Source organism: Homo sapiens, chromosome 11 (assembly GCF_000001405.40).
Source record: "Homo sapiens chromosome 11, GRCh38.p14 Primary Assembly".
Classification (NCBI taxonomy): Eukaryota; Metazoa; Chordata; class Mammalia; order Primates; family Hominidae; genus Homo; species Homo sapiens.
The window spans coordinates 23,697,823-23,708,455 of record NC_000011.10 but is presented as its reverse complement, the minus strand read 5'-3'; the positions used below and the strand labels follow the sequence as shown (position 1 = coordinate 23,708,455).

The window sequence follows — 10,633 nt, the reverse complement described above, 5'->3', positions numbered from 1 at the left end:
GTGAATGTCGCCTGGCTTGGAACTTACCATTCAGGGCAGTGGCCTGCCCTCCCCAGGGCAGGTCCACAAATGCTGTCCAAAAGTCAAGCCCTGAAACTGAAGACCCCAAGAGCCTGCTTAGTGGTCTACCCCACTGTGGTGGTGTTGGTACCTAAGGTGAAAGACAAAGCCCTCTTTACATTCCCCTCTGCTTTTCTCCCCCAGGAGGAGTTTTGCCTGGTAGCCATCACAGTTGGTAATGTGCTGAGTCTCATCTGAAACCAGTAAGTCTCAGAGGCTCACCAAGCCCTGAGATGTTGTACCTGGGTATTGCTGCTGGTTATTTAGGGCCCAAGGAATCTTCAATTAGCAGGTGATGAATGCTGGCAGGACTGGGTCCTTTCTTTCAAGGCAATGGATTAGTTTCTGGCCTAAAGTGTTTCTGGAAATGTCATCTGGGTTCTTGGACCAAGAAAGGGGACCTCACAACTCTGCTCAGTGCCCTATCCTGCTGTGGCTGAGATAGTATCCAAGATGTAAGATGAAGTACTCCTCACTCTTCCTCTCTTCTCCTCAAGCAGAAAGAAGGGTTGTCTTGGAGCCAGGAGCTGTACAGCCTGGGAGGGGTGATGCCAGTACTCCCTTGGCCTCCCCAGCTGGTGCCTCAGTATGTCACGTGTTCCCACTACCCAGTCCACTGTCTCTAGTTTATCCCTAAGACTTGCCTAAGGGTTGCAGTCCTTATGGATTGACTGCCTTTCAACTTTACTTACAGACTGAGGGCACTTTGTCCCTCAGTGGCAAGGTTTACAGGCATTCCATTTCTGATCGCTGCAATGGGCTATTCCCTCTGGCCAGGGCTGGTTTAAATGCGTCTTCCTCTGTAAGCAAGGTGTCAGTTAAGTAGTTTGGTTTGTTAGTTTTTTGTTTGTTTGGTTGGGTTCTTTTTTTTTTTTTTTTTGGTCTACAGAACAGCACTGAGTTCAATGCCTTACAATTACTTTGTTCTCCCACCCCCAGTGCCCAGAGAGGCTCTGTGCACCGCATTGCAGATGCTGAGGGTGGGGGGGAAGTGGTGTTGGCATTCAGGACTGTTTTTTCTATTCCTTCAGTGACTCTTTCAGGGATATGAAGTTAAAATGAGGTATTATGAGTACTCATATGATTTCTGGTTCTTATGAAGGTGTTTTTTTTATGTGTAGAAAGTTTTTTACTTGGGGTCCTTGTTGGAGCTGGGGGGTGATGATCTGCCATCTTGCTCCTCCTCTCTCTGGATCCCTTTTGAACTGTTGGTTGGAATGTAAAATGGTGCTTTTCGTATGAAAAACAGCATGGAGGGTCCCTAAAAAAATTAAACATAGAACTGCCCATCTAACCCAGCAATCTCACTTCTAGGTATTTATCCAAGATAATGGAAAAGAGAATCTTGAAGAGATATTTGCACTCCCATGTTTATTACAGCATTATTTCCAATAACCAAGAGGCAGAAACAACCTAAATGTCTATCAGCAGCTGAATGGATAAAGAAAATGTGATATATGCATACAGTGGAATATTATTCCATCTTGAAAAATAAGAAATTCTTGCCATATGCTACAACATAGATGAACCTTAAAGACATTATGCGAAGTGAAATAAGTCATTCAAAGATGGACAAAACCTACATGATTTCACTTATATGAGGCATCTAAAGTAGTCAAATTTATATAAGCAGAAAATAGAATGGTGGCTTCCAGAAGCAGAGTGGAGACATAAATATGAATTTGCTGTACAATGGATATGTTTTCAGTCATGCAAGAAGAAAGAGTTCTAGAAATCTGTTCTACAACAAGGCACAGATAGTCAATAATATTGTACTGTGTAATTAAAAGTTTAGTGGAGTATATTTTAAGTTGCATGTTTTTTCACCAACATAAAAATAAAATATAGAGATTTTTAAGTACACTTAACATAAATATGACTTTTTTTCTCAAATCAATTTAGACATTATGCTCAATTTTATTTCTTTAACTTTCTAATGTTCTGTTTGATATGAGAGTATTTGAATTTTACCAAATATGAAAATGTAACATAAACATGAAGTAATATCTATGGAGATAAAACAAGCAAAAATGAATGGTATATGACTTTATAAAGAGAAGCAAAAGGATAATTTAAAAATTGAATCAAAACAAGCAAATAGTTCAAGACATCATTATCTCTTGAGTATGTAGTCACAGAAGAATAAGAGGAGTTGGTTCAGGAAGGACACAAGAGGAAACCAAGTATATTAGTAATATTCAAATTCTTAAGTCAGGTGATGGGCTCCCAAGTGTTCATCTGAGTGTTATATATACTTGCTAAACGTATTCATTTGTATCAACTGTTTTGAAACAGAATGTCAATGCAGTTATATGCATAAAATTAATGTGTGATCAAAAATATGTGCAAATCAAAATATGTTTAATAAACGTATTACATGTCCCAGATATAACGAGAAGCTAAACTTCTAAATATAAAAGAAATTGTCCATTTACATAATAATAAAGGACCATGTGGGAAAGAAAAATAATACATTATTTAGAAATACATGCACTTCAATTTCATGTTTTGTAGTTTTTCTCTATTCCTACTAATTCCTTATGTTTACAATTTTTATAGTCAACTACAGTATTTATAGTTAATAGGTAAGAAAAAGAGTACTAGACTCAGAAATGAGATCTATTATTTTAAGCCCCTTTTCTAGTAGTTGTTTGATCTTAGGCTGATTGTTTAGGTTCCTTGAATTTCAGGGACCCTATCTCTAAAATGAGGAAATGGAGCCAGATAGAGCTCATCTATCACTTAAGTTTCATGACTTTTTATGCTGAAGAAGCCTAATTTTCAGTGTGTATTTCTCTTACTCTTTTTACTCTTATCTGTTATTCTAAGAAATAGTTATCAAAATCTGAGACTTGCGTTCTACAATCAAAGGTCATAAAAAGCACATCCATCACTGATCAGCTTCAGGGGCCACAATGTTCTCCAATCACAGTTCTTATTAACAAAGTTGTCTTTTTAAGTGTGTTATTTCGAGAATTGGGACAGAGAATGACAGAAATGAATGTTAGGCACGTGTTAATTTTTGTTTTACCTTTTTCACCTGGTTAGGTCTGTTTTCTTCAGTGAAATCTCCAAAGATTATTTTGGTTATTCTTCAACAAGAAGAATATACTTTGTATTCTGGATAACCACAGGTGTTTACTTAGTGAGGGCAAAAAAATCATTGAAGGAATCTCGAGTTATTTTTCAGCAATAGTGCCATCATTTGCATGTGGTTTGTCTCCACTAAAATTTTTGTTGAAATTTGATGCATAGTGTGGCAATGTTGGGAGATGGGACATAGTGGAGGCATTTGATCATGAGGGGAGACCGCTCATGAATAGATTAATGCCCTCGCATGGGGTGAGTAAGTTCTTCTTCAGGTGGGAATGAATTAGAGCAAGTTGTTGAAAAAAGTCAGGCTTTCTCAGTTTCTCTCTCTTACCTCCTATCATATCAGGCGGTCTCTTTGCCCACATCTGATCCCGTTCTGCTTTCTGCCATGATTAGAAGCAGTCTGAGGTCCTTAGCAGATGCAGCTGCTCAGCCTTGAACCTTTCAGCTACCAGAATTATGAGCCAAATAAACCTATTTTCTTTGTAAATTATCTAGTCTCAGGTATTCAGCTATAGCAATGCAAGACAGACTAAGACAAATAGTTTTAACCTATGTTGATGTTATATATTGTTGTGTGCTGTTGGGGTATGGTGGGCCATGGGAAAGGCATCTGGAAGCACTTTTCTCTGCACTTTTCTAGCAATTGCCACGCCAAAGCTAAACAAATAAGATGAATAAATAGATTTGGCAGCTTCTTGCAACTTTAAGTTGACAGCTGTTTTTGTGTCCTCCCAAGTTTTTAATGGCATAAAAATAATTAAAGTAACTATTGATGAATACCTTTAGTTTGTCACCTTCATCTTCATAATAACTCTTGACATTATTACAATTAAAGCAAAGTATTGGCCCTTGGGCCTTGTAAATATAAGTAGATTTCTCAAGATCAACTTTAACATGACAGTTGCTTGTACACTGGTCTCGATCAAAAGCACATGCTTTTCCTCATGTTCCTGTGAACAATTGACTAATGAAATTTTATTTCACTGAGCAGGGATCTGTATATTATTTCAGTGCCTGTCATGTGTATGTCCAATTGTTTTATGAAAATAATTATCTTAAAAACTCCATTAAACTATTTACTTAAATTAGTATGGTTTATATTTCTTGTACTACTAATGCACGTGCACTGCATTTACAAAATGTAATTATTATTCATCAGAAAACCTTTGTAAATATGACTATTATGGGTAAGAATTTATCTGAAACAGTAGATAGATGTTAGAATAGAAGCAGAAATGTACTATGTAACTCCTTTTCATCAAACCAAAAGACAATGGTGATTAAACCTCAGGCTGATGGTGAAGCAAATGGTGAAAAACAAGCTGTAATTATTTATATCTTCACTTACTTGTTTATATAGCTACAATGCCGTCCCAGTTTCATTCATTAGAATATAAGCCACTTAAGCAGGGGAATCAACTTTAACTATTTTAACTATAGAGTTTAACATATTATCTGCCATATATTAGATGCTTAATAAATCTTTAAGTGAATAAATTGATATTCTTTGAGATGGTTCTATAATTTCATTTGACTGAAGAAATTTTATAATAATCTAATAATATTGGCTTTATTAATGTTGCCAATAGTGAAATTCTGAAACAAAATGTATTACAAGTTTCTTGCTTTTTGGGTTTTTTTTTTAGATGGAGTCTTGCTCTGTCTCCCAGGCTGGAGTGCAGTGGGGTGATCTTGGTTCACTTCAACCTCCACCTCCTGGGTTCAAGCAATTCTATTCTTCCGCCTCACCCTTCCGAGTAGCTGGGATTATGGGCGCATGCCACCATGCCCGGCTAATTTTTGTGTTTCTTTAGTAGACACATTCTACCATGTTGGCCAGTCTGGTCTCAAAATCCTGACCTTGTGATCCGCCTGCCTCGATCTCCCAAAGTGCTGTATTACAGGTGTGAGACACCACGCCCAGCCTGTATTATAAGTTTTAAGTTACCTAGTTAACATTCTTTCATTCATTGCAACATTTCTCAACTGTTATTTCTGATGCTGTAGGAAAAACATTTTCCTAATTCTTTCTTTGCTGCTGATGAAATGAGACTTGTAATTTTTCTTCATTATGATCCTCCATTTTCCTCTTCCTCATGCCCATCACCCTCAGAAGAAAATATCTATTTTTACTGTTTCAAAATATGATTAGGGCATGACAAACACTGTTTTGTCAGACAAACCTGGATTTAAAGACCCATTCTACTTCCTACTAGCTGCACAGCCATGGGAAAATTACATTACATTTACCTTTATTTATTTTTGTGACGTGATTTTTTTTTAACCATTAGCTTAATAATACATGAGAAGCGAAGTATTTAGCGCACAGGGATCAATACTTTAAAGTTAAGTGATAAATATTATATTGATTGCTATTTCATCTAGTCTGGTGAATGAAAAGTCTAATAGATTTTCCTATATACTTCTCCTACTGTAATTAGCTACCTTAAAACTCAATTGATACTAACTTATTTGTGGTCATTATACATTGAGATTTTTCAAATGTACTTGTTAAGCATGAAATAAAAATTGTGCCTCAGGTTCAAGATCATTTAATGTAGCAGATAATATGACAAAAAAGTAAAAGATCACAACGAAGTTACTACTGTGTAAAGATGATTTCAGCCCAGTCTATTCTGTTCACACATGCAATTGCAAACTATGCAACCAGCATGGATATTGATTGAGAGCTTTTAGTGTGATAAATTCTGTTTTAGACATCTATGCTATAGCCTTCTATTTTAACAGATATCCCAGCAAGTCAGCAGTGCTTTCTGTGGTGCAATCAGAATAGTTTCCTGCTAAATTCCTTTCTTCTTTTTCTGATATTCATCACTACAGACTGTGTCTATAGTTTCCTCAGAGCCAGGTGGCCCTTTTAAGTGAGATTTACATCTACCTTTGGCTCATCTGTCTCCACATGAAGTGGATACCCTTCACCTGCTGTGATGCAGCATCCTGCAGAAAAAATGTATTGGTTTGATTCACATCCTTCATGTGGATGTCCCAGTTCTGCTGCTACTGCTGTCACTCCTACCTTATACTATGGCTCAAATATGATGCAGTGAAACAGGAACAGAGACGTTGATGGTCATTTCTGTGGCAGACACACTCTATCTTGAGCTCTAAGTTACCCTTAATCAACTATGCACCTTTGTAATCCCCACCACTTGAATTCAGTCAGGATCTATGATACACTTCTTATAAATATGGCAAAGTTGATTAGCTGTCATTTCCGTAATTTCATTATATTTTATATATGTATGGTATTATATTATATTATATGACTATTTTAGCAAATTGGAAAGAGACTTTCTTTTTATAAACTTGAATGAATTTCTCAATTCTATTGCTACACTGACTAAAATTAAGGTGCATATTCAGATGATTTTAGTTTCTGATGAGTGGGAAGTTTTATTTATTTTTGTGGTTGTGAATGTATTAACGACAAGCCCACATTTTAAAACACACCACAGACGTTTAATTAATAAAAATTTTGTGGCAAATTTAAAATAAATGTATAAATTCAGATCATTCTAATTTTAGATATAACCTTGAAGAGGGCAGCTAAGCAACAAGAAACTTTGAGCTTGTAAGCACATTTTTCAGCTTGCAAGCAAATTTCAAGGGCTTCCTCCAGACAAAATTGTAAAAAATAGCCACTCTGTTTTTTTGCCCTTTCTTTTGTGTCTGACCTCCTCTGTCTGTCCATTAATTACATTTGGTGGATTCTGCCTCTGAGCTGTTCCTAGTACCCACTAGAAGCCAAGCTTTTCACTCTGGTGCCTCACTTGTAGGTTCCCAGGTTGAACACTTGGCCTTCTCTTCCCTGACATTACAAACCATGCTCCAGTGCTTCACAAAATTCTTGAAAGTTTGGAGAACACAGAGTATACTGAGGATTATTTTAATTTTAAATAGCCATTGCCATAAAAAAAATAGTAAAAAATTTTCTGAAAATATGCAAGGGGAATATGGTGGAAACATCTGGGGAAAACAGGTGGTTTAATGAATTTAAAGAACTTTATTTCTTTACTATTTGTAGTTAATAGTTATTATTCAAAACTATACTCCAGCAATGTTCTATTTTTTTTAGGTACATCTGTATTTAGGAACTCGGGGTATGGAGAGATAAAGGAACGTTTTCAAGGACATACAGCTTGTAACTGACAGAGCCAAATCAAATTCAGATAATCTAGATCCAGAGGCCACATTCTTAACCGCTTCACGGTCTCACAAAATGCTGGTGAACATGGCATATCAGGCAACATGGATATGGAGATTTGTTAGACGTTTTCCTAGAAAAACTAGCATCTAAATCAGCAATAGTAATGATTATCACTTTATACAAAGACTTTCTATTATTGTTAGTTATTGATACATTTTTATTTGATACATCATAATCAAATAAATTACTCTAAGAACAACATAGCAATACTAAAAATTAAAATTAAAAAAACTTCACAACCAAAAAACCCTACAACTTATTACACACCAAAAATATCATCTTTTTTTCTAATTTTTCTTCTCAATTATATTTTTACCTTCCAAATGAATATGTATACTTTTCCCACTACCTAATATTTCATCTAGCAGATATATCATATTTATTTATTTTCACATATGTAACAATTAGGTTGTTTTTAATTTTCCTCAAAATAGGCCTACTATAAACTTTTCAGTTCACATATTTTTTTTTCCTGGGTAAAAATAGGTATCACTTTCCTTTTTCATGAAATTAATATTCACATCAAAATTTCATTAATATTAATACCAATTTTTTTTTAAAAAAAGCTTTTGCATTAATATTGGGCTTTAGTAATGTAAACACGGACAGACCATGTAATTTTAAAGATTCTTATATATCACAAAATGGTAAAATATTAGTTTATTCAATCTTAATCATTATGTATTGTGGTATCATTAATGGCAAGAGTTACACTTCTCTTTTCAGTTTTATTCTTGCTGTCCTAGACTGGGAACTATTTGTATTTCTCTTGATCAATGATCAGTTTTTTAACTCACTGCATTAAATCTGTAAGAAAAAAGAGATAATAATCCTGCTTTTAATGGCCTTGCAGCGCAAAGTCTGTCAGGTCAAGGTAGTAGCAGCAGAAGATTGAAGATATATTTAGGAGGTAAAACTCAATGAGACTTGGTAATTGAGGGGATAAGGTTGGGGACAGTTAAAGAAAGCTGTCATGGATAACTCCCAGGTTTAAAAGTGGACACTAAAGTAATAATAATGAATCTACAATTTTATTGTAGCATAGTATTATTATTATTATTGCTATTATTAACTTTTTTTGAGATGGAGTCTCTCTCTGTAACCAGGCTGCAGCGCAGTGGTGTGATCTTGGTTCTCTACAACCTCTGCTTCCCGGGTTCAAGAGATTGTCCCACCTCAGCCTCCCAAGTAGCCAGGACTACAAGCATGCACCACTACACCGGCTATTTTTTTGTTGTTGTTTTGTTTTTAGTAAAGACAGAGTTTCACCGTGTTAGCCAGGCTGGTCTTGAACTCCTGACCTCAAGTAATCCTCCTGCTCGGCCTCCCAAAGTGGCTGGGTTTACAGGCATAAGCCACCAGGCCCCCGCCCATTTGGCTTTTTTCTTGCTAATTTGAGTCCCTTGTAGATTCTGGATATTAGTCCTCTGTCAGATATATAGATTGCCAAGATTTTCTCCCACTCTGTGGGTTGTCTGCTTATTCTGCTGACTGCTTCTCTTTCCATGCAAATGCTCTTTAGTTTAATTAAGTGCCACCTATTTATCTTTGTTTTTGTTGTATTTCCTTTTGGGTCATTGGTCATGAAATCTTTGTCTAAGACAATGTCTAGAGGGGTTTTCCCAGTGTTATCTTCTAGAATTTTTATAGTTTCAGGTCTAATATTTAAGTCCTTGATCCATCTTGAGTTGATTTTGTATAAGGTGAGAGATGAGATCCAGTTTCATTCTCCTACATGTGGCTTGCCAATTATCCCAGTGCCATTTGTTGAATAGGATGTCCTTTTCCCATTTTATGTTTTTGTTTGCTTTGTCAAAGATCAGGTGGCTATAAGTATTTGGGTTTATTTCTGGGTTCTCTATTCTGTTCTATTGGTTTTTGTGCCTGTTTTTATATGAGTACCATTCTGTTTTGGTGACTATGGCCTTATAGCACAATTTGACATCAGGTAATGTGATGCTTCCACATTTGTTCTTTTCAGAAGCTAAGAATATTTTACCTTAAATGAAGAAGAGCCTTGATTAAGAGATATAATTAAGGATCCTGAGATGTGGAAATTATCCTGCACTATCCTGTGAAGCTCAATGTAATCACAACGGTCCTTAAAAGTGGAAAAGAAGTCAGAAGAGAGAGGCAGAGAAAAATTTTATTACAAAAGTGGAGGTCAGAATAATGTGTGTAAGAACTCAGCCCGTAATTGTTGGCTTTGAAGATAGAGAAAGAGAGCTATGAGCAACAAATATAAGAAACTTCTAGAACCTGGCAAGGGCAAGTACACAGATTCTTCCCTGGATCCTTCAGAAATGAATGAGGCCCTGCTGACATCTCATTTTAGCCCAATAAGACCCATTTCACAAAACTATAAGCTACAAAACTATAAGATTATTTGTGTTTTTTAAGCCATCGAGTTTGCAATAATTTGTGACTGTAGCTATAGAAAACTAATGCAAGGGCTAAAGGGGGTCTTTCAGTGAACCAAGTATTATTTTTCCCTGTCATTAGCCAATCATTTTAATTTAATTGCATTGACTAATATCAAGGCTGAAGTATTCACCTCTATGGGTTATAGAACTAGTATAATAAATCTCCAAAAAAAAAAACATCTTCATTTTACTCTAATTCCCAGAGTTGTTAACAAGCAAAAATTGACTATGAACATATGACTTTTTTCTTGCTTCCTATTAGTAGCAAAGTGAGAAAAAAAAGTTAAAATATGAGCAGTTAATGGGAGAAGCAGAATAAACCAAGAAATCTAATTCATGTGCTAAACATAAGTTACATTCTAAATTAACTAATATTTTATTATATCTACTGTAAATAGTTTAAATCAAAGTGTCATCATTCTTTTGTAGCTAAGTACCTATATTTATATGCATTTATTTATTCACATATGTTAAAAACATTTCACTCCTTGAAATTTGAAAATTGAAAGCTAATAAAAGTCAAATGAAATACAGTAGTTACGTTTTTATGTGTTGATTATAAACATACAACAATTATTGTTATTAAAAGTCTGTATTCCATGGATCATAAATACAAGTGTATGGATTACTTATTTTGGAATTCATAGCAGGTCATTTAGAATATTTTATGTTGACCCAGTTTTAACCAAAAGAATCAAAATAGACCCTTGTTTTAGTTGAGAGACAAAACGTTATGTCAAGCTGATTCCAGTGATATTTTAGTCATCAATTATAAAGAGACACATGACCTTACCTTGTGAAGAAACAGAAATCTGACCATCACCTG

General features: G+C 35.4%; 1 annotated feature.

Moving 5' to 3' along the window:
- Window positions 767–1,000: a silencer, noted in NCBI's record as "fragment chr11:23729002-23729235 (GRCh37/hg19 assembly coordinates)". NCBI's record gives its function as "represses an EF-1alpha promoter that drives an FKBP-Casp9 reporter gene in an ReSE screen in K562 erythroleukemia cells {active_cell/tissue: K562}" and the evidence as "EXISTENCE:reporter gene assay evidence [ECO:0000049][PMID:32094911]".